Genomic DNA, 23,224 nt, shown 5'->3' on the forward strand with positions numbered 1-23,224 from the left:
TCAAACTTCACTATGACTGATTCGAATCACACGTCATTTCAGAAATATGGAACAAATTCCTGACCCCTCTGGATCCAGCGGGCTGACCAGGACTCTGTTCAGAAGCCTCCCTCTGCCATCCCCACAGTCCATGAACTAACAGATACACTCAGAGAGAAGCTCCTCCTTAAAAACGCAGATGCCCCCAGAGAGGGACTCCACAGCATGTCTTCGAGTGCTGCTAGAACAAACCTGCACGTTGTGCACATGTACCCTAGAACTTATAATAATTAAAAAAAAAAAAAAAATATATATATATATATATATATGGGCTTTATATATATATATGGGCTTTAATATATATATATATGGGCTTTATATATATATATATAGGGGCTTTCAGCAGAGGCGAGCGAGGCCTGGGAAGGGGGCACACCCTGTGAGCGCATCTGGCCTGTGAGCGCTGGTCCTCAACACAGCTGCTGGGGCAGATGAGGCTGTGCATGATGGCAGCTGGGGGGTAGGCGACCACCTGCCCTCACTTTGTCCTAGAGTAGGGATGAGTAAACGTTTTCTGTAAAGGGCCAGAGAGGCTTTGTGGGAGTGAGGGCTCTGATTCAACTGCTCAACTCTGCAGTCATTAACCCACCAGTAAACAAATGGCTGTGGCTGTTACCAAAAAAACTAGTTACAGAAACAGATGGGATTTGGCCTGTGGGTTTAGTTTGCAGATCCTGCTTAAAGGTGCCTGGAGGAGAGTGGTGGCCCTGCAGGTTGAACTTGAATTGTTTTTCTCTTATCAGCTTTAGCAATGCTGAGGGGTTCTCTTAATAGCATTCCTGAAGTGGGTAGATCTGTTTGCCAACTGTGTGCCCTCATTTCTGGGAACCTCAGTATTCATTTGCAAAATGGGTTTAAAAATACTGACCTTACCACTTGTTATCAGAACTTAAGAAGGTGCTATGAATCTAGTGGATAGCCAATGCCAGGCACAGAGCAGGCACTTGGCCTTCGGCAGCTGTTAAGGCCACATTAAAAAAAACCTCTCAATTCTAGGCTGGGTGCGGTGGTTCACGCCTGTAATCCCGGCACTTTGGGAGGCCAAAGTGAGTAGATTGCCAGGTGTTTGAGACCAGCTTGGACAACATGGTGAAACCCCATCTCTACAAAAAATATGAAAAAAATTAGCTGGGTATGGTGGTGCATCCCTATAGTCCCAGCTGAGGTGGGAGGATCACCTGAGCCTGGGGAGGTCAGCGCTGCAGTGAGCTGCGATCGTGCCACTGCACTCTAGGTTTGGGCGATAAAGTGAGTTTTTAAAAAAAAACAAAAAAAACCCCAAATATCTCAAACCAAACAAAAACAAAAAAAACCCCCAACTCTCAATTCTGAGGGTTGAACCAACTTCCTTATGTAGCTCAGGAATGCAGCACATTTGTAATGCAAATTAAAAACTCATTGAAAGATTGCTTCCCAGCACAAAACTTCCTTTATAAATACACAACATACCTTAAGATTAAATCCAAATTTTCCATCTTCATCTGGTGTGATACGGATCAAGACTAAGTAGCTGTCACCATTATCATTCTGGAAAACGGTTTGAAAGTGGTCATTTGCATCACATCTCTCTCCAGCAGTTGGTGATAAGATATTTTCATTTAGTTAGAGCTACTCAGCTGCCCACAAGAGGCCGGGAAGCCCTGGGTGTGTGGATCACCCGGCTGCCTGCGCTCGCTCACCTTGTCACAGTAGTACTGGCTGGCGTCCTCGGTGGAGCCCCCTTTGGTCACCCTGTGGAAGTCATCTAAGAGCTGCTGATCAACGCCGTCAGGTGAGCAGGAGCCTGGAGCATTTGAAGATGGAGACACAGAACTGGATGACTTCTGGGTCAGGTAGCTTTGTGCCGGATTGTTCTCGGATAAACTCCTTCATCATGGGGAAGGAGGAGATATTAATAACTGGGTTAATATTTTATTAGAGCAAACACTACTGACTGTAGGGGCCTGGCAGCTGGGGGCTGTATGTTTCCCTGGAACCTCAGCTGCATAGGTTGTCAGCGGGATTTGAGTACACCCAGGGCCCACTGACCACCCCTGACCGCATCTGGCCTAGACACTGTCACATGGTTTTGGGGAAAAGGGATAGGAGGCAGGGTGGATCTGGAAACTGCTGAAAACTTTGCTCCCTTCCCCGCTGCTTTAGAAGGGTGACAGGGAAATGTGTCCAGCTCCTCTGGTGGTTTCATTACTGAACCAGGCTCTGCCAGGCAAGCTCATGCAGATGCACAGCCCATCCCTTCTGAAAGCTTTTTTCCTTCTGTCTCACTTCTGCGGATGGTTCTGCTTCATAGGACTCTTGCCTCCTCAAAGGAAACAGGACTGTTGTTGTTGTGCGTTCAGGAGAATTTATATTATTCCTAGTTGGCATGATTTGCCTGTGACATCCATGAACTGCCACGCTGAGATCTTGTTACATTTTCCTCTATCGAATATAGTTTCTTCTGTATCGTGGAGCTGCACTGTCTAGTATGGTAGCCACTAGTTATATGTGGCTACTTAAATTTAAATAAATTAAGACAAGAAACCAGCCATACTTCACATGCTCACTAGCCATATGCGGCCAGTGGCTCCCGTATGAGACAGTGCAGTCAGAGAACATTTCACCACGGCAGGAAGTCCTGCTGGACAGCGCTGTCTTAGAGAGTTACAGATGATGAAAACGGAACAGAACTTTGTGGTCATTTGTTCTAACTCCCAGTTCACAGATGAAGAAGCTGAGGTCAGGAGAGGCTGAGTAACTTGCCCAGGGTCACATGGCTTTCCCCCGGCTTAGCAGACAGAAACCTGACCGATGTGCGTCCTAAGCCTTTCTTCCCTCTCCAGACCATGCAGAGCCCACTTCCAAGACCCCTATTTCTAACCCCTCAGAGTCACAGGGATTAACCATCCCTGCTGTCACTGTACAGGACAGGACCCTTGAGTCTCTGCATCACCCACACCAGCCCCTTCCGGAGCCACAGGCCCAGCACAGACACCTTACAGAGCTGATGACTATGGGGCTCTCCTACATTCTAAGACTCTGCCCCACCCTAACCTCATCCAAAGTGAAGTGAGGGGAGAAGCGCAGAGACCAAGTCATTCAGTGAAACCCAGACAAAAGACAGCTGCTACTGCCTCTTTCTTGACCTTCATTTCAAGCCCTTATCCATGGATTTTTTATGAAATTGGTGCTTCTCTTTCTCCTAGTGAGTTTAAATGAGCCTAATTTAAATATAAAATCTGTATCATAGTCACACAGAATGATTCATAATCACAATCTATTTGAATAAAATATTCAGTGACAGACCAATGGAGAAACACAGCGATACAGTAGGACAAGAGTCTGGCCTTATGGTGTCCAAGTGGCTGGTTGGGGGTAGGGTGTTATGGATGGGAAGGCATTTCAGAGACAGAGTATTTTGGAATTGAAGTTGTATACAAGTTTTCAGATTGAAAAAGCATGACTTTCACTTACGTAAAAGGAAGCTTTACAAAATTCCCCCCAAATACGGCATCTTTGCTGGGTTTCACTGTTTACAAGAGCATCACCCAGTGGCAGAAAGGGCAACTGCTTGGCAGTTACAAAACAAGTTAAAATGGTATTTCCAGTTCTCGTTCTGTCTGTCTCTGTCTCTGTCTCTACCTCTGTCTCCCTCTCTCTCCCTCCCTGCACCCCCCCAATCCATTTTTTTTTCTTTTGAGGTAGGGTAAAGCTCTGTTGCCCAGGCTGGAGTGCCATTACATGACCACAGCTCACTGCAGCCTCGATTTCCTGACTCAAGAGATCTTCCTATCTTGGTCTCTTGAGTAGCTGGGACCACAGGCATTCGCCATGTCCAACTAATTTTAATTTTTTTTTTTTTTTGAGTCAAAGTCTCGCTCTGTTGCTAGGCTGGAATGCAGTGGTGCAATCTCGGCTCACTGCAACCTCCGCCTCCCGGGTTCAAATGATTCTCCAACCTCAGCCTCCTGAGTAACTGGGACTACAGGTGCCCGCCACCACACCCGGCTAATTTTTTATATTTTTAGTAGAGACAGGGTTTCACCATGTTGGCCAAGATAGTCTCGATCTCTTGACCTCGTGATCCACCTGCCTCGGCCTCCCAAAGTGCTGGGATTACAGGTGTGAGCCACCATGCCCAGCCTTTTAAAAATTTTTTGTAGACACAGGGTCTCACTATGCTGCCTAGGCTGGTCTAGAACTCATGGTCTCAAGCAATCCTCCTGCACTGGCCTCCCTAAGCGCTGGGATTACAGGTGTGAGCCACCATCCCCAGCCCTATTTTTCTTTTTTGATTTAAAACTCAATGGTCTGTCTAAACTAGCCCATGGTACTAAATGACAACAGTACTACTACTATTACTATTGCTGCTAGTACTAATACTATATTCCAAGTCATTTTATGCCCTAACCTATTTTTTTTTTTTTTTGAGACAGAGTCTTGCCCTGTCGCCCAGGCTGGAGTGCAGTGGCACAGTCTCAGCTCATTGCAAGCTCAAGCTCCACCTGCCAGGTTCACACCATTCTCCTGCCTCAGTCTCCCATGTAGCTGGGACTACAAGCACCTGCCACCAATGCCTGGCTAATTTTTTTTTTTTTTGTATTTTTAGTAGAGATGGGGTTTCACCATGTTAGTCAGGATGGTCTCGATCTCTTGACCTTGTGATCTGCCCGCCTCGGCCTCCCAAAGTGCTGGGATTACAGGCATGAGCCACCGTGCCCGGCCTGCCCTAACCTATTTTCTAAGCAGGGTTGGAGGGGTTACTCTTAGTCATTTATTTCAACAAATGGCTGATTTTTGGCCTGCTCAACTGTGTACACAGGTGCTCTGTAGGGCGCGGTGATATTCTGTTCAGTGTGCAAGATGGACAGACAGACGAGGAAGAGGACATCAAATGAGGAGATGCAATGAGTAAGTGGCAGCTGGCCACAGCACAGGGTGGCCAGGGGTGAAGGCACCAAAGCCCTAGTGCCTCCTCTGTCGCTGGGCAGAATGCAGTGCGGCTGAGGAGCGCAGGGGAGTTGCCCCATGAATTCCACAAGTGGAGTGAAGAAAGGGGCAGGATGAGGGATGCAAGAAGATGGTGAGGATGGGATGGAGCCAATGACAAGGGGGAGGAAGGAGCAGAAGAGGTTTGTCCCTGAGGCAGGACGGGGAAGACACCATGGAAGAGCCAGTGTGGGACTGACCACATCCTGGTTCTTAGGGAGAAAGGGGCAGAGACAGAGAAATGTGAGACACAGACTGACCATCAGGCAGACAAACAAGTATTCACCCTCCAGAAAACACATGCTTCTGAACTGTAAAGGCAGCAGGCATCAGAAAGAAACACTCCCATGAAAGAGACACTCCCGCACGAAGCTCTCCCTAAACCCTAGAAAATTAAAGACCTCCCCGCCCCGCCGCCTGTGAAAGGAGGCAAAGTCCTGCTCTCAAATTGTGGTGTGATGGAACAGGGGCCCTGTTTTGGGAGCTTCTCAAGGTCAGGAGACCCTAGTGCTCTTTCTGTTCCTCTCCTAGTACTCGGAACACAGGACCAGGCACACAGGGAGTACTCAACTGAAATGCTGAGTGAATGAAGAATAAAGCCTCTTGGCAAGGTACCAAGAGGATCACCCGAGGTGATTGGGTGAGTTACTCTAAAAGAGCAAGGAATTTACTCAGGAATCTGGAAGCTCAGGTGCAAAGTGAAGGCGAGTTAAATGGTTCTCATCTGCAAGATCAGAGCTTCTGAGAATGTGCTGTGCACAGGAACCAGCTGGGGTCCTGCTGAATGCAGAGTATGATTCGGCAGGCCTGTGTGGGTCTGAGATTCTGCATTCCGACCAGCTCTCAGGTGCTGCAGCTGCTGGCCTGTGGCCACAGCTGGAATAGCACGGCGCTAGAGGAACTCATACCAGTTCACCCAGAGGGCACAGTTTCTTCTGAATAAAATTCCTGGAGAAATTTCCCACATGGCTCCTCACATAAGGGTCCTTGAGTAACAGAAAGAAGACTGTCTTCCAATACACATTTTTATGATGTGGAGACAGTCACCACAGGAAACAGCTCATCTGGGGCTGTAATAAATGCCAAGGGCACAAGATCAAAGTGGCAGAGGGGATATGGTTCAGGTATGGTGCTTTATGAGCTCACAGTCTTTCCTGCTGGAACAACAGATCATGAATCTGTCTAGGCTTCCCCTATAGATATCAGACACCTCACTGGCAAGAAAGCACTTGCTAAACCTCGGTCAATTCATCCCTGAATTCTCTGAGGAGAATTTCTCATTGACAGATGCCCTGCAGGGGCACCTACCACATAGTCCTGCTCACAGGTGACAGTTACCAAACTTGTCAAAGTAAATATGTTTGAGTTCTTGGGGTACAGATAAATATGGTGTGATGTTGCTCATGTGATATGGACACATGATGTGGAAGTGGCAGAGGGGGCATCCCATTGTGAAAACTTAGGAGTTTGTATCTCGGGGCCCCATCTAGTTTCATCTAACCATTTGTCCGTCTGTCCGTCCGTCCGTCCGTCCATCCGTCCATCCGTCCGTCCATCCAACCATCCATCCATCCATCCATCCATCCATCCATCCATCCATCCATCCATCCAAATAGTCACTGAATGTCTATTAAATGCCAAATAACCATGTCAGGTTTTAAGGAAGGAGAGGTGAATAGGGCACTATCCCTGCCCTCAAAGAATTCACTGTCCAAAGGAGAAGAAATACAATTAACCAAGTAATAATATTATCATGTTACAGTGGAGATGCTCAGATGTCTAGGGTACTGTGTAAGGCCAGGAGAGGCTTCCTGGAGCAGGTGCACTTGAGCTTGAGTTTGAAAGATGAATTAATAGGAGTTTGAACAGGTAGTCAAGTGGGAAAAAAGGCATTCTGGCAAAACACTGATAATAACAAACACACAAACAAAAGCAGTAGCACAGGTAAAGGCAGGAAATGCTGAAAAAGCAGAGAAAAGGTATTTAAGCAGGAAGTGACATTCTTGGATGTGTATTTCAGAATGATAAATTTGCTATTCTTGTGAAGCATGGTGTGGAAGGAGGTGACACCAAAGACAGGGGAACGATTTGGATATGACTGAGCTAGACTGTGCAAGAGACGATGGTGGCTGCATGGGGGCAGTGCAGTGGGGATGGTGGAGGAGTCAAATGTAAGAGATGTCTGGGAGGTAGAATCAACACGATGAGAAATGGCATAGGGACAGTGAAAGAAAAGGAGGAGTGAGGGACGACTGATGTTTCAAATAGGTGCAAACTGGGAAGTACTGAAACAATGGCCCCCCTTACCAAGACACAGGAACAGCCATGGGCTGGACACCAACATGAGGAGCTGAGATTGGATCATATTGGGTTTCAGGTATCTGAGAGACATCTACACGCAAGTGGACTCAAACAAGAAGGCAAGGTTCAAGGAAAAGGGACACAAACACTCTGAACAAAACCCTGTCCCTGCCTGGTGTCCTCCGAGGGGGACATGTAGAATGGTATGCAGATCCTTCCTCCACATTCAGATCTAGTGCCACCCTCTAGAAGGCTCATTTGCACTTGGAGAATGGTGGTTACGAGGGTGATGGGTGGAAAGTGACTACATTGGAATTGTCTATCTTAAGGAACAGTAACCAAGGCTGGCAGGTGGAACTGGGAACAGACACCATCTGTGTTGTCCTGAGAGTTCAAGGCAGGAACCTTGATGCTGGGTCAGCGTCAAGGAGGCTTCCAGCACAGCTTGGGAAGAACAGTGGGCACCTGGGCTGTCTAACGACAGAGCACACAGCTGCACTGTAGGGGACTCTCCATTGCTCGCAGGGCTCTCAGGGCTGGGGGAATTCCTACACTGCCGCCAAAGCTGAAGAAGGGGATCCCCCAGGTTCCTTCCAATGAACAGAAGTTTTTTGTTTTTTGTTTTTTTGTTTCTTTTTTTTTTTTTTGACAGGGTCTCACTCCAATGCCCAGCCTGGAGTGCAGGGGTGCGACCACAGCTCACTGCAGCCTCGACCTCCTGGGCTCAAGTGATTCTCTCATCTCAACCTCCCGAGCAGCCAGGACAACACGCAGACAACATCGTGCCCGCCTAATTTTTGCATTTTTTTGTAGAAATGGGGTTTTGCCATGTTGCCCAGGCTGGTTTTGAACTCCTGGGATCAAGCAATCTGACCAGCATGGCCTCCCAAAGTACTGGGATTATAGGTATGAGCCACTATGGCTGGCCAGCACAGAATTTTTGAAATAAAAAACAATGGCTGCCCCAAATCCCATGGAAGAAGGCAGGCTCTAAGGAAAGAGGCAAACAGCGAAGAAGTTATGCAGGCATGAAGCCCCATCCACTCGGAGGGTGTCATGCTGGTGACCCATCAAGACAACTGTGATAAAATAGCAACCAGAAAGTTTTTCTAATACAACTCTAAACTGCTCTACAATGTGTTTCCCCCAGTTTCTGTTCTGCATGTCTCTTTCTTTAGGGAACATTCTCTCCCTTTTATCTGGGTGGAGAGTGGTAGCTTTTTCATTTCTGCCATGAAAGAAACTTACTTCTCTGCAGAATTTGGTCTTCATTCGGAAGCAGGGAAAGGAACACACAATGGCTGATAGAACCTTGGGAGCAACAAAAGAGTGCAGCCTACTTGGGCACAAAGCAAACTGCCAAGGATTCATAACTATAATCATAAACTTTGCTGTGCTGCTATAAATACGGAACAAACCAGCAAGTGACTCATCCGCTAAGATGGCACTCAGGCAGCCTGAGCTGCGCCACTCTGGGTTTACAGCCAAATCTAACCGCTCTTTTTCTTTCTCTCTTTCTTCTTTTTTAAACGAGTACAGAACATCGCACTTAATTCTTCTTCTTAAAAGGAACCCTCCTCACTGTCTGTGATATTATTCATCCGATTTCTCTGACAGAATGCTTCTTTTTGCCTCTTAACACAAATCTGCTGTATAAAACATGTCAAATATTTTGTAAACATTTTGCAAATACTCACAGAAACTAACCAACAGGTTTTTTTTTTTTTCTTTTTTTCTCTCACCAGGTACAGACCAGTCTGTACTTCTTACCTGGAGCAATGGGGGTTCCCAGACCCTCAGGAGGGCCAGCCTCCTCTGAAGACCCAGCACAAAGTGGCTTCCCACCGGCAGGAAGAGGTCTCCCACCTAACAGAGGTGGTGGGGGCTGCTTTTCTGGCTGTTCATCCCACTTGCAGAGCACAGTCACTAACTTGACCCCCTGACATGTCTATTGTCAGTGCACCTGGTAAAACCCCACAAGGAAGCCTGCCTTTGAACCACTGTTATTTGCTATTCTTAACATTTAGCTGCAAGATAAAAAGAGCCCCAAGATGACACACTTTACAAGGTCTCAAGGAGGGGTTTCAAGAAGACTCATTGTGCAATGTATAGGAACAAGCAGGGCCAGAAATCACTTACATCAAACAGTGCTTGAAGGAGTGAATTTTAAATCTTATTTAATTTTAATGAACTGGAATGTAAATAGTCCTATGGAGCTGGTGGCTGCTGTATTGGACTATGAAGGTCTAGATGCTCTGTGATGGGACTGCAGACCACAGGAGGAAAATCTGATGTAGGGCACGTACTGTTCCCTAAGCCCCCCTTTTCCTTTCACCAAAGTGACAGAGCCCTGGAGTGTGGCAGCGTAGGCTGATAATGTGCTATTTGCCCAGCTGGCCTGGAGGCTCCTGAAACAACTTCTCTGATTTGCTCCGGTGTTCCCCTCAATGACCAGCCAAGGATGTATAAAGTGTGCCGCTGGACTTGGGAATGAATGCAAGCCCTCTAAAGTGCCTGCATGTCATTGGACAGAATGCATCCCTCCCCACCTGGCACTGATTGCATAAAGAGACAGAGGGTGCTGGGCTGTGAGGGCACTCAGAGGCTATCCACCTGCCCCATGCCACAGATGAGCAGCTGGGTGAGTGGTGTGGAGCGCCCAGACTGCAAGCAAGGTGATGATTCCAAACCTACTCCCACATGAATTCTGTGTGAAAAATGCACTTTTCGCTTGTAGATATTCTAGGGGTTCACCCTTTAAATGAACGATGGAATAAACGTGTTAGTCTAGATGAGTGCTGCTGACAACACTTTCTGCAGTGATGGGAATGGGCTGTATCTGTGCTGTCCAAGATGGAGGCCAACACTCCTGTGTGGCTGTCAAGCAATTCAAATGAGGCTCATGTGACTGAGGAACTGAATGCCTACATTTTTATTATTTTAATTAATTTAAATCTGAATAGACAACTGGGGCTGGTGGCTGCTGTACTGGACAGGGAAGGTTTAGATGCTGTACAATTCTGTGATGGGACTGCAAACCACCACAGGAAGCTCTGACGCAGCAGGTGTGAGTGGGCTTCCCAGAGCCCTCCAACGCTTCCCTAAACCGTTTTCTCCTTTTGCCAAAGCCGCAGAGCCCCCACTGCAGACTCAAAACGGCTCTAGTCACGCATGCCTGCACTCCTGCTTTGTATTTCTAGATGTGCTTGTGGTTTGAAAAGCTACAAAGTCACACAAAGGAACTCACAATCATCCACTGTAGCCCTGACAAAGGGGCAGCAGGCTGCAAGTTGGAACAAGAGATAGCAATCATTTAGCAAAAGCATCATCCAAGCTCAGGTCACAAGGAAAGAATGACCACAGGGATTATTTAACCAGAGGTGTTAAGAACACAGATAAACTGGAAACCATGTTTGCTGTGGGCAAGGACAGAGGAGAGGTAGCAGCCTCACATACAAATGGGAAGGAGATTTGCAATTCACCTGCAAATGCCTGGAGTCCAATCAGGGTGCATTTGATGCTTTCAGCCTAATAGCTACAGTGGTAAAAAATTTACAGATTAACTAACGTGCCTGCTTGCTAATCCTCAGCTGTTAGGGGGGCCATTATCTTACTATATTTTAGAAATAGTATGGGGCTTAACAGAATAGATACCCAATGACTATGGTTGATTTCCTAACAGTTGATCCTTTACTATCATGCTTTAACCTAATTTATAATCTATGTCTTACCTACTTAAAAAAATGATTTGCGAGTTTACCCCAAAACGTACAGATATGTAACTATGAATCCATTAAAATAAGAAAAAAAAGACCCATATAACAAAGGCAAATGAGGAAGAGAAGGTCCTATACAAGAAATCTGGGCTGAGGGAAGTGAATACAATTGAGCCTAATGTGCAGTTCTGAACTCCCTGGTAACCAAGGCAAAAAGGGAAACAAATGGGTTAAATATATCCTATTGAATAACAAAAGCACTCAACCATCTTTCAGGACAGACATTTTTTCTGTCCTTGAGCTATGAGGGAACTCTGTCACGTTAAAAAAGCGGGGTGGGGGAGGTAGGACATAAAAATTTAACAAAAAATTTCTCAAAGAAAATTAGAGATGTTCTAACGTTTGTTTCTTTATACTAACTATTAATTGAAAACAAAACCCCTCAGAACCCTGTTGTTCGGAGAAGGCTTTTAGAAGCAAGCATATTTCCAATGATTTGAAATCATGTGATGGTAAAACTTTAATAATCTAGAGAAATCAGAGTTAGCATGGCCCTAGAGTCTGTACCTCCAGAACAGGGAATGATTAAACTGGGCTTTGCTTGTGAGCTGGAGAGGAGACTAATTCAAGAGACTAACAAGTACTTAGTGACTAGGAAGTCTTTGTCGTGGACAAAAAGAAGTACAAGCTCTAGACCCCAGGCACATAGACCGTCTTCCGGGTGAAAAGGTAGAGTCTGATTTATGTTCTTATCCTGGCAGAAGGCACCTGTGGGAGCTGGCTGCAGGCACCAGCTCTTGGTTCCTCTCAAATGGCAACCTGGACCTGAGCAAATTCCGCAACAGCCAAAAAGCAAATACCCAGAAATAAAACAACACGAGTTTCTTACTCTTGGTGCGGGCTTCGGTTCTGAGAAACTTCAGAATCGCTGTCTTGAGGGGCCAGAGAGCCCTTGTACGTGTAAAATACATCTTCCGTTTCCGTGATGTAGGTCATTTCATTTGCAAGGTTATCTGCAGAAGAGTGGCGTGGCTTTCGGATTTCGTGCCGGAGCCGAGGACTTCGCCTGGGTGGGAAAAACGTTGAGTGCAAAGTGTTCAAAGCAAATTCCACTTAAAAATTTTATTAGACACCAGTGAACCTCGTGTCCTGACCTTTCTAAGGATGCCTTCCTTGGCGGAGGCTGACATTCAGAGCCGGTTAACTCATTACTACCCCAGCAGAAGGCACCAAGGGTGACACAAATCCCTAACACTCTCAGTCAAGTGGTGGCTCCCAAAACAGTAGCCTCAGCTGTATAAACAGGCAGAATTAGATGGGTTTATGCCCTTTGGGAAGTGACGGGTATTGACTTAAGGGTAAGTTATTCTTCCAGGAGGACTCAAGCTCTCAAAACATAAATAGGCCATATGGACTGCTATTCAGATAATTTTTCTGATTAATTTGAACAATGCAAACAAAAGGGTTAGAAGCCAAACTACATTTCTCAGCAAAACTCCAACCTTATTTCAACGACATCCCTTCATGTGAATTTCACTTGATCCAAGAGAAAATGTTTGCTTTTTAAGATATATCCCTTATTAAACACGTTTATATGCATTAGATGGGCATATAAACACTGGACTGTCCTCCAACAGTGGCAGTAGGCATGTGACCTTGGGCAAGGCACGTCACCTCTCTGGGCCTCGGCTGTACTTACCTGCTCCTGAGAATGAATCCAATGAGGCCGTGTTCTCAGGGCATCCAGTGTGGCACCTGGGCGTCAGCTCCTGCAGCGGGGGATCCCAAGCTGCCAAGCTTTCTAAGTTCTATTTTCCCTCACAGTTTTTCCATCTTCCCTTTCTTTGTTAGCCATTTCTCCTCAGGACTGTCAGGGCCTCCATGATTTGCAATCCCCCTGGGCCTGGATAATCAATAATGCTGTGTCCAAAGCAGAAGTAAAAAGGCTCTTGTGACTCCTCAGGAGAGGACCTATAAATAGCCACAGGAGCTCCGGGCCACGAGTGTGGCAACATCCAACCCCGCTGTTCCCCTGGATCCAGTCCTGGGCTCTCTGGGCCCCTGGCATTGCTGCCGATGAGATTTTCAGATAAATTAAGCTGCTGTGTTATAGCATAAATTTACCTCTTTAGAATGAGGTATCTAAATGTTGGAAACCAAGAAGCAAATCTATTCAGTTACGTCATGATTTCTAACACTAAATACTATCACTGTCCCTTCCCAGAGCATTAGGCCCCCAGTGAAGGGGTCCTTCCCTAGCAGGCCCAGCACAGCATCTCCTCTGTCTGCCTGTCTCCCAGTTTCTCTTAGGCTTAGCAGATCCTGGATCAGGTATTTACAGCCACGCACTCTTACTCCAGTGTGGAGCTGGGGGCAATGATTCCCTGCTAGGTTTCCCCTCTGGCCCCTAGCCTTTTTGGAGGTATTCACAAAAATGGTGTGATGTCTTTGAGGACCATTATAATAAGATAATGATAATTCCACCTGACTCTTTTAAAAGCTTACTACGTACTTGTACATTATTATTTCATTTGCGGTAGTTTTTATCATCTTTTTAGATATGGGGAAACTGAGGCTACAGAGGTAAAGAAACTTGTTAATTAACAGAAGGGCCAAAACCTGAGTTTAGGTCTTTCTGCTACAAACCCAGTGCCCTTCTCACTTTACCAAACGACCACCTATTTCTTTTTAAGCTGAGTCCATCCTCTTAAGTTGGCCTGCTACTTACTGATGTGCATTTGCTTCTGCTGCTGAAGGTCATACATCCTTACATCATTTACATCACGTACCTGCGTTAGTTTTCCCTAAAGTTTATTTTGTGGGATATTAATGGAAAACATGAATTAAGTAAAGCTAACCGTACTTTTTTATTATTGGACGTCTCAGAGTGTTTAATATGCTAATGTGTGCTGTGATTCCAAAGGAGGCCTTTCAGCAGGCTCGAGTTTCCCAAACTATTTAGATTGAATAAGTTTTTTTAAAAAGAGCATCTCAGCATTATACACGATGGAAAACATTTAGCTAGACTTGTGTACTTCATGAAAACAGTTACTTCTGCCAAGAGCCTAAAATGCAAATTGTAGGTCATCTATCTTTAGGAGTTTATAAGTTGAGTTTTTATTTTTAAAAGAGATAAAGTGTCTACTGTTGGGTAGTACAAAAAAAAAAAAAAGGAGGACATACCAGTTGGGAGTAATGGGAGGGGAACGAGAAGGCAGACTCTTGGTTTCTAAGTGCTCCACTGATAAGGATCTCCGCATGGCTGGGTTCCACACCATCCCGCCAATCACCTTTTTGCAATATTGGTTATTTACCGACCTGAAAAACCAGATGCAGGTTCACTTTCTACACTGACGTTCAACAGGAAAGAAATTACTGCATGTGTGAAACAGTCTACACATGCTTCTTGTCTGAAGGACGGCAGGTTAATGCCAAGGTTATGGGGAGTAGAGGGAGACAGCTCAAAAGCGATTCCTGTCTGTCCTGGAATTTCCTTATGTGATTTCTTCTCTTCGGGTGAAAATCCTTTCTTGTCCTCACTACTCAAGCAACAAAGCTGTTTCCAGAATATAACCAAACCTAACCAGATTAGAAGGAATTCCAGGATCACACAGAAATACAGCTCCAGTGATTTCAAGGAATTCTTATTTTATTCACACTGGCCTAAGTAAAAATATTAACCATTTTTTCAGGTGCTCTTCATCATCCTAGCTGGCAGGAGCTGTCACTATAAATCACTGGTAAATCTTTGAGAGAGAATCTGAAAATGCGCTTAGAAAGTAGTTTCAAACTGGGCACAGTGGCTCATGCCTGCAATCCCAGCATTTTGGGAGGCTGAGGCGGGTGGATCACTTGAGGTCAGGAGTTCAAGACCAGCCTGGCCAACATGGCAAAACCCTACCTCTACTAAAAATACAAAAAATTAGCCAGGTATAGTGGCGCATGCCTATAATTCCAGCTACTTGGGAGGCTGAGGCATGAGAACCCCCTGAATCCCCGAGACAGAGGTTGCAGCGAGCCAAGATCGCACCACTGCACTCCAGTCTGGGGAACACAGTAAGACTCTGTCTCCAAAAACAAAAAATTATACAGAGTTTCAGGCTACGTTCTTTGAAATGTGCTACCCTGAAGGTTACTTTTGAATTTTATTTATACCTAGAGAATTTAAATCTTAGCTATCTAGACCCCTCAGAGAATGAATTATTTGAGAGAATAGAGCATGAAGCCTGTCACCCTGTTAAAGGGTGACAACTTTGGTTCTGGCATCTCTAAATTTTAAACTAGGATTTAATGTCTTATGAAAACATTCTACACATTTCCTTGTGACATGACATCAACCAACCAACAAAAACAAAACAGAACAAAGAACAAACAAAAGAACATAAACAATATGAATCGCCCTGTAGCACATCATGTACTAATTCACATTAAGAAATGCTGTTGTCACCCTGATCAAAATGCTCACAACAGCATCACTGGGAGACTCTTTCCTCTGAGGCAGGCCTACATCAGAAACCACACTGCCAGTGATGAAGAGCACAGGATCAAAACAAGGGGAGCAAACTGCCCAACTCCAAGGTTTAATGTGTCATGGGTTATTAATAGGGACTCTCTGAAAAAAAAGTGTTCCATTGTCCCATAAGCTTGGAAAATAACCCAACAAATTTCTTTTTATGTGGAACCTTTCAGAAGGCCCAATAAGCAGATGTGTATCTGTATCTCTAGGGGCTGGGCAAGTCATGTGACCCTTCTAAGCCTCAGTGTCCTCATCTGTAAAATGGAGGTAATGAGACTTGAAATTCACCAGTATGCTGAAGCTGGCACAGGTAGTAAAAGAACTGCTGACTTGTCCTCCCAAGCCATCCTCCCAACCCAAATGATCCCCTGTGGCAGATTAAAGATGACTGCAAGTTCTTTGAGTCTTGCATCTGGGTTGGCTTGTGACTGCTTTCAGCAACAGAGTCGCTGTGCCAGTGCCAGGTCTCACCCTTAAGAAGGCTGAACGGTTCTGCCTTTCGCTCCTGGAACCCTGAGTGTCCATGTAAGAAATTCAACCACCCTCCTGGAGTATCCAGATGGGGATGCTAAGGAGTCCAGGTGAGTCCAGCCTTCCAACCATTCCATCAAGACACCAGGTATGCAAGAGAAGTTATCTTGGATCCTCTGGCCACATTCACTGAGAAATCCCTATCTACACCACACAGAGCAGAAGAGGCCTCTGGCCAAGCCCTTCTAGGATTCCTGACTCACAAAGTCATGAGATATAACAGAATGGGTGTTGCTTTCAGTCACCAAAATAGGGGTATTTTCTTGTGCCACAATACAAGACCAGAACCCAGCCCTGCTGGCATTGGATGCATGCAGATGACAAAGCTTTGCAGATGAAGAAATAGAAGCAACAAATTAAAGCTCAAGTGACAGAGGCAGGATTTGAACCCAGGCAGCTCAGCAACAGAGGGCATGGTTTCAGTTGCCTCCCCATTCCTTCTCTCATCTGGCCTGAGGATCAGGCCCAACCTAAGTCAATGATATAATCCAGTAAGTTATTTTCATGGCTTGCTCAACAGTAGATCTACTGAATGTATACAAATACTAAACAGTATTATAAGAGCTAAAAACTTAATATATTCACTCTTGGTTCATCAGAAGCTGAGAGATAGCATTTAGCACCACAAATAGTATCACTGATACTAACAGAAATTAGCTACTTATTCAGTTTACAAGTTCCCTAATGATTATCAATGTATTAGGAAAGTAACTGGAACAGTCTGATGCAGTTCCACCTATCAGAAAGATAATGGCTCAGACACGGGTCTCATTTAGTTAGTAATAGCCACATCAACAACAAATCACGAAAACAATTTTGAAAAACCAACAAATGATTTAGAAAATATGGCCTGGCACGGTGGCTCATGCCTGTAACCCCAACACTTTGGGAGGCCGAGGCAGGCAGATCACCTGAGGTCAGGAGTTCGAGAGCAGCCTGCCCAATGTGGTGAAACCCTGTCTCTACTAAAAATGCAAAAATCAGCTGGGCGTGGTGGTGGGCACCTGTAATCCCAGCTACTTGGGAGGCTGAGGTAGGAGAATTACTTGAACCCAGGAGACAGAGGTTGCAGTGAGCCGAGATCACTCTAGCCTGGGCGACAGAGTGAGACTTCGTCTCAAAACAAAACAAAACAAAAAAGAGAGAATAGGCTGGGCACGGTGGCTCATGCCTGTAATCCCAGAACTTTGGGAGGCCAAGGTGGGTGGATCACCTGAGGTCAGGAATTCGAGACCAGGCTGGCCAACCATGGTGAAACCCTGTCTCTACTAAAAATACAAAAATTAGCCAGGCGTGGTGGTGTGCTCCTGTAATCCTAGCTACTCGGGAGGCTGAGGCAAGAGAATCGATTGAACCTGGGAGGCGGAGGTTGCAGTGAGCCAAGATGGCACCACTACACTCCAGGCTGGGTGACAGAGTAAGACTCCATCTCAAAAAAAAAAAAAAAAGAAAAGAAAGAAAGAAAAAAGAAATTATAAGAATAAATTGACAATTTATGCTACCTCTTATACTTAGAGGGTAGTCTTAGAACAAAGAAAACAAAAATACAAACTGCATGGTTATTTCATTTAGAGAATAAATTTATCTTAATTAGAATTTTAAAATGTATATACGAATTATATATATCAATGTACATCCATTTCTTTTACTGTACATCATTTTATTTAGAGAATAAATTTTAATCTAAATTAGAATTTAAAAATTTATATATTATATATATTTATACATAAATATATATAAATTTACATCCATTTCTTTTCCTGTACTAGTCATTAAATATTTTGAATATCATTCCTGTGGCTAATAGTACCTATCTCATAGGAGAGTTGTAAGAGTCAAATATAATTATGTGCCCAGCACAAAGTAAATGCTCAGTAATTATCAACTGTGATTACTACTGTTATTTTGTAATTATTATAGGCAATATATCCCAAAGTCACTTGACTCTGGAAATGTTTTTCTATTCCTTCATTCATTTTTATAGAGCATCTTATGGAATTAAAGTTCTGTGGGAGAGGCTGGCATAGTGGCATCAGACTGGGATAGCCCAGTATGCTGGCACCAGGAGACACACAGAACCATGGCTCCATTTCCTTTATTATGTCATGGTGCAGGGTACAGCTGCCATTCTGACTGCTTGGAAGTGCTGAGTTCAGCAGAGTTGAGGGGAGAGAAATGCTGGGAACATGAGATATCCCTTAGACACTGCTGACCCCGGGAGACTTTTAGTTATGGTTCAGAGATCCAATGCCTGGAGCCCCTGGGCTATGGGTTTCCTCCTCTGCCTAACAATGTCCTCTATTCACTGATGACCAGGATGCATTTACATCTCAGCCTAGTGTGGACACAGTCTTTACAGCACACTCACTTTTTGGTGTTCCGAGAGCCCATAGTCCAGTACTGAGACAGAACATTCTTTTCCTGAGGTAGTAGCTTCTTTGCCTGAAAGAACGTATGGTGCTCAACACAGGATTTCCACAAGTTTTTGCAAGATCGGTAATTCAGCATGTTGAAGGCCACAATATGTTCCCTGGATTCAGCCTGGGAGGAAAAACAGTCAAGATTTCACCCACACAGACATAGGAGCAGGGACTTGTAAGCATTTAACCCACATTGGTGAAATGAGGTAAGATGCAACAGACAGCAGAAAACTGGTTTCAAAATGCCGTGGCCACAAACCAGTGTACCGGAATATTCAAGAGCACGATTTGTTAACCGTCTTTATGAACATGGTAATAGAGATGACCAGAATCTATTCTTTATCATCATCTGCGCTTCTTCATGAATGCTTTTATTTCAAATCTATTTACATTTCTAGGCTGGATACATTTGGAGCAATCAGATAAAAACCGTCTGATACACTCCTTTTAAATTTTAACTCTGGGAACATCTCTCTCCTGAAGGAATACTCTTTCATCTATCAGACAACAGCAAGTTTATAACCCTTTGGGTTTTTCTCTATTTGCTTTCCACAAAGCACAGAGTTGAATCCAGTGCTCATATGTAATAATCATTTTAATCATTTGCTTTGCCTGCATTCTGCATGAGTTTAGGTTTTCTGTTTTCATGTTAAATTGCCGTCTTATACATTTTTGTGCCACCCTGAATCTTGCACTGAGGGGTCAGGAGATCCAGATTCCAGTCCTAGCTGCTCTGAGCTTTTGTGTCCTCATTCCTAAGAGTTCACGGCTCTGTGAGGCCATTTTAAGCATATATTACCTTTGAAAAATTGGGAAATTGACACAGTGACAGTAAGTGAAAATCATGCAGCATAAAAAGATAAGGGTGTAGTGCTGTGGAAAGAGCAGGTGTCTCGGATTCGTAATGATCTGGTTAAAATTCCAGCTCCCCTGACTCACTAGCTGTGGGAGCCTCAGTTTCCTCTCCTCTAAGTTCTACATCTCTGTATGGATGAGCAAATGGAGTTATCACAGTGCTATGGACTTTGCTTATGAGATATATACACCTACCAAGCCATCGTGCAGTTTCAACACATCATGGGAGGGAACTGACCTTGCTGACATTCACTGTTACTTTGTGGTGGGCTCTCTGCCAAGTGCTTTGACCAATCCTCTTTTATTTAATCTTCACAATTCCCTAAGAAGTGGGCATTATAGAATTTCTGGAAACAAGGTAACTTGGGCTAGGGAACGTTAAGTAACCTGGCTAGCTGGTAAGTGGAAGAGCCAGGATCTGAAACCACTGTCTCTGACTCCAAAGCAAGTTAATCCTCCAACCAGCTAAGCAGAATTATACAGACAATCACTGGATCCTCCAGACTCTGGCTCCACAATGGCATGCTCTTTCTTCCCTGATACATACATAGCAAACAGCCTTCAACCCTTAAAGAACTAAAAGCTGAAGTAACTTAAAAACACAAGAAATGGGGCAAAGTGGTGCATGTTTCTAGTCCCAGCTACTTGGGAGGCTGAGGCAGGAGGATCCCCTGAGCTCAGTTTGGGCAACATAGCGAGACCCTGTCTCTAACCACACACATACATATGCACGAAACAAAGCAAGCAAAGACATAACTACTCACCTGTTTCTGTCGCTGATGTATGAAGAACTTTTTCCTTTTGAAAGAAATTTTGAGAATGTTCACCCTTCAAAAAATAAAACAAAACACAAACAAAGCACATCAGGGATCGGCCAGGTTGAAGCTGATGCCTCTCAATGCATGTCCTTTACTCCATGATCCTGATGAGTGGGGGCTCTTGGCTGCCTAGAGTTTACTTCTCTGTAGAAATGATGGCAGCCCCACTGCCGCAGGCTAATACCAAGTAGCTGACTGAAGCTGAGCACTGCGTAAGGGCCACTGGATTATGATGTAGCTTTTAAATAACAAGAAACATAGGCCATGCGCTCTCTTTGCTATAAGCTGCTTTTGTGGCACTGCAGCTCTGCGTGAGCTGGTATATACATGGGGAAGACAGCTGAGAGCAGCATGGAGCAGCTGAAAGAGGACAGACCTGGTCCGAACCCCAGCTCCATTACTTAACAGCCACGTGTCAAGTAGCCTACTTAACATTTGCAAGATAACAGAATTTAGTCACCATTAACTGAACATTTTTTAGATACTAGGCTGCTACTAAGAGCTTTATAAACATCCCCTCAACGAAGCCCTGCAACAATCCTGAAAAGTACATATTGTTATACCCAGTTTTCAGATGAGGAAACTGAGGCTCAGAGACATCACCAAAGTGCTCAAGATCATTCAACTAGAAATTCCTGGAGCCAGGACCTGCACCCCGGTCTCAGCTGACTCTGAAGCCTGTGCTCCTAAGCTCTCCACTATGAAGTCTTCCCAACAGTGGTGAAAACACTGCCCTTCTCAGAGAGCGGCCTTGTGAGGATTCAAGCAGAGTAGGAATGTCAAGTCCCTACCTTGTCACACAGTAGGCCTGCAATGCTTGTTCCTTTAATTAAAAACATAACTTTTAAAATAAATTTACAGTTGACCCTTGATTAACAAAGGTTTGAACTATGTGGGGTCCACTATCTGGGGGATTCTTTTTAACCAAACATGGATGGAAAACAGTATTTGCAGGATGCGAAACCCACATATACAAAGGGCTGGCTTTTCAAATACACGAGTTTTGCGGAGCCAACTGTGTGACAAGTCTGTGTAGATTTCGGTAACTACAAGTGGTCTTGGAACCAATCCCCCAAGTACACCAAGGGCTGACTATCATTCATTTATGCAAAACTTCTGTAATCCATACAAAGGGTGCATATTTCTCTGCTGGAATCTTTACTTCTGAAATACTTTGGGGAAATGAAGGAATTTTACTATTCTCTAGGATCATACAAAGACCTTGGTAGAACATTCTAGAATGGAGAGGCTGTGTAGGTAAAACGAAACTTGAACTATTCATGGGACATCCCCCAGATGGATCAGCAATATACCTCTATTACATATTAGATATTACCTAATACACATCTATTTTCAACGATCTGTTGGTAGATGTAACTGTGAAGTAAATTTTTTGGGGTGACTACAGGTTAATAGTCTAAGGATGAGAAGAGTGTCTGGGCTCACCCCTTCTGGAGATACTCTTCCTAGTGTGTGTTACTGCTCTGCCATCTCCCTGAAGTCGGGGGAGTCTCCTCACGATTCTCCTGTGCCAACTGGCAGATGCAAAAATTCCTGTTCTGCAGAACGAGTCAGGAGAATCAACTCCCCTTTTGAGTTCTTACCTTGCCTTGTTTGGCCCATGGGTATCTGTGGACCTCTTACTCCCCCCACCCCTGGCTTCATATACAGGGGTAGGAGGGCCTGGCAGGCCTCCTGTGGTTCCTAGGGCTCCAGCTCAGCATCGCCTTCCCAGGCTGACCCCAATTTCCCCACCTGACAGCTCTCTCCCTGAGCTGTCAAATCTGATTATGCACAGACATGAACTCTTGTCGTTTCCAGGCTTGGGGCCTCAGCGGGGCTCCCTACTGCCCTTCACTCATTTATAAGAAAAAAAAAATGCACTGAGAGCCTAGGATGTACAAAGTTCTATGCCAGGCCCTGGGGACAGAGGGAAGAGGACATGGAGCCACTGCCATCCAGAGGCTTATAATCCAGTGAGGGAGACAGGAACCACATAAAGAATGATGCATGGAAGTAAATCACTGTAACTGTGAGCACTGCATGCAGGAATGCCTAGAGTCTCACAAGAGCACTAAGAACTGAGCCTATAGGCTCCTATGGCCCGTGAAGCCCTCCATGACCTGGCCCCTCTCCTGCTGCTCCTCATGCCCATGGCCAGCTCCAGCCTGGCCTGTCCCACTCCTCCTGACTCACTAGCTGGGTTCTCTCTTGTCTCTGGACCTATACACCCTGCCACTTCTCTAGAATTTTCCTTGGGCCAAAGCTCAGCTGGTGTTCAGATCCTGGTGAGTGCCTTACCCTGCATGCTTAGGGCCCTTCTTATGTCCTGCCCCTCCTGGGCACTTGCCCATGCACCTCCCTTGTCACCCTGGGGTCACCATCTGGTGCTGGTCTCCCCGCTGGTCTCTGAGGTTTACACTGGAGGCAGGGGCCAGGCCTCGACAGGAGCCATCTTGATGTTGAAGGGTGAGGGAGGCTTCAGCAGGACTGTGGGTGAGCCTGGGGGTTGGAGAGTCCCTGCAGGCTCTGCCAAAAAGGCTTCTGTTCACAAACCTGCTTCTCCTGACCAAGTCTCCCACTTCTCTCTCCTGCAGTGACCTTGTGGGACCCACATCTTCTCCACAATGTGAGGGTCCAGCCCTTGTCTGTGGGCCCTTAGGAGGTTTGGTCACAGTTAGGCTGGACCCAAGGGGCTTTAGGCCTGTGGCACCTGGAGGAAGCCCCCGGCATCTGGAGGGGCTGGGTGCAGAAAAATGAGCCGTATGCCCATTGTGCCCTCTGCTTAGCCTGATCTTAGTCCTGAGTGGGCCAGAGAGCTGCCTGGGCACGCCCCAGCCCACCAAGCAGGCTGGAGTTTCTTGCTTCCTCTGAGGGGCTTCTAAAAGAGATGAGGTGAATGAAAGATGGAGAGAAGATCCTGCTATCTGTTACACTGATTTCAGTGTCAAATTGAACAGGGCTGTCGTCACATTTTTTGGTTTTGGAAAATAGATATATTGAAACTTAACTGAACAGCGTCTATTAAGTATGTATGCTACTTAAGCGTTTTCCTACAAA

General features: G+C 45.3%; 1 protein-coding gene across 18 annotated transcripts in view, besides 8 other annotated features; it reads right to left on the bottom strand.

The window, feature by feature from the left end:
- The window catches only part of PTPN3 (protein tyrosine phosphatase non-receptor type 3), a 162,727-nt gene that overhangs the window by 32,817 nt on the left and 106,686 nt on the right, over positions 1-23,224 (bottom strand). For 10 of the 18 annotated variants that reach the window (XM_011518888.3, NM_002829.4, XM_006717199.4 and 7 more), the window contains 6 exons: positions 20,111-20,174; positions 18,440-18,612; positions 14,208-14,342; positions 11,914-12,090; positions 1,719-1,905; positions 1,489-1,566 (listed from right to left, as the gene is read on the bottom strand). In XM_011518888.3, the coding sequence (XP_011517190.1) occupies positions 1,489-1,566; positions 1,719-1,905; positions 11,914-12,090; positions 14,208-14,342; positions 18,440-18,612; positions 20,111-20,174 (814 nt within the window). Of the gene's footprint in view, positions 1-1,488; positions 1,567-1,718; positions 1,906-9,078; positions 9,274-11,913; positions 12,091-12,723; positions 12,976-14,207; positions 14,343-18,439; positions 18,613-20,110; positions 20,463-23,224 lie in introns of those variants that run through there. The other 8 variants (NM_001145368.2, XM_047423635.1, XM_047423637.1 and 5 more) reach the window with 5 other exon arrangements.
- Positions 2,705-2,824: an enhancer, noted in NCBI's record as "active region_28759". NCBI's record gives its function as "activates an Ori minimal core promoter by ATAC-STARR-seq in GM12878 lymphoblastoid cells {active_cell/tissue: GM12878}" and the evidence as "EXISTENCE:reporter gene assay evidence [ECO:0000049][PMID:35858748]".
- Positions 3,345-3,444: an enhancer, noted in NCBI's record as "active region_28760". NCBI's record gives its function as "activates an Ori minimal core promoter by ATAC-STARR-seq in GM12878 lymphoblastoid cells {active_cell/tissue: GM12878}" and the evidence as "EXISTENCE:reporter gene assay evidence [ECO:0000049][PMID:35858748]".
- Positions 7,504-7,663: an enhancer, noted in NCBI's record as "active region_28761". NCBI's record gives its function as "activates an Ori minimal core promoter by ATAC-STARR-seq in GM12878 lymphoblastoid cells {active_cell/tissue: GM12878}" and the evidence as "EXISTENCE:reporter gene assay evidence [ECO:0000049][PMID:35858748]".
- Positions 7,674-7,723: an enhancer, noted in NCBI's record as "active region_28762". NCBI's record gives its function as "activates an Ori minimal core promoter by ATAC-STARR-seq in GM12878 lymphoblastoid cells {active_cell/tissue: GM12878}" and the evidence as "EXISTENCE:reporter gene assay evidence [ECO:0000049][PMID:35858748]".
- Positions 7,764-7,993: an enhancer, noted in NCBI's record as "active region_28763". NCBI's record gives its function as "activates an Ori minimal core promoter by ATAC-STARR-seq in GM12878 lymphoblastoid cells {active_cell/tissue: GM12878}" and the evidence as "EXISTENCE:reporter gene assay evidence [ECO:0000049][PMID:35858748]".
- Positions 8,654-8,713: an enhancer, noted in NCBI's record as "active region_28764". NCBI's record gives its function as "activates an Ori minimal core promoter by ATAC-STARR-seq in GM12878 lymphoblastoid cells {active_cell/tissue: GM12878}" and the evidence as "EXISTENCE:reporter gene assay evidence [ECO:0000049][PMID:35858748]".
- Positions 10,235-10,294: an enhancer, noted in NCBI's record as "active region_28765". NCBI's record gives its function as "activates an Ori minimal core promoter by ATAC-STARR-seq in GM12878 lymphoblastoid cells {active_cell/tissue: GM12878}" and the evidence as "EXISTENCE:reporter gene assay evidence [ECO:0000049][PMID:35858748]".
- Positions 22,227-22,728: an enhancer, noted in NCBI's record as "H3K27ac hESC enhancer chr9:112193017-112193518 (GRCh37/hg19 assembly coordinates)". NCBI's record gives its function as "activates a minimal SCP1, AML or CMV promoter by ChIP-STARR-seq in primed H9 embryonic stem cells {active_cell/tissue: H9 hESC(primed)}" and the evidence as "EXISTENCE:reporter gene assay evidence [ECO:0000049][PMID:30033119]".

The sequence above is a fragment of the Homo sapiens genome, chromosome 9, assembly GCF_000001405.40.
Source record: "Homo sapiens chromosome 9, GRCh38.p14 Primary Assembly".
Lineage (NCBI taxonomy): Eukaryota > Metazoa > Chordata > Mammalia > Primates > Hominidae > Homo > Homo sapiens.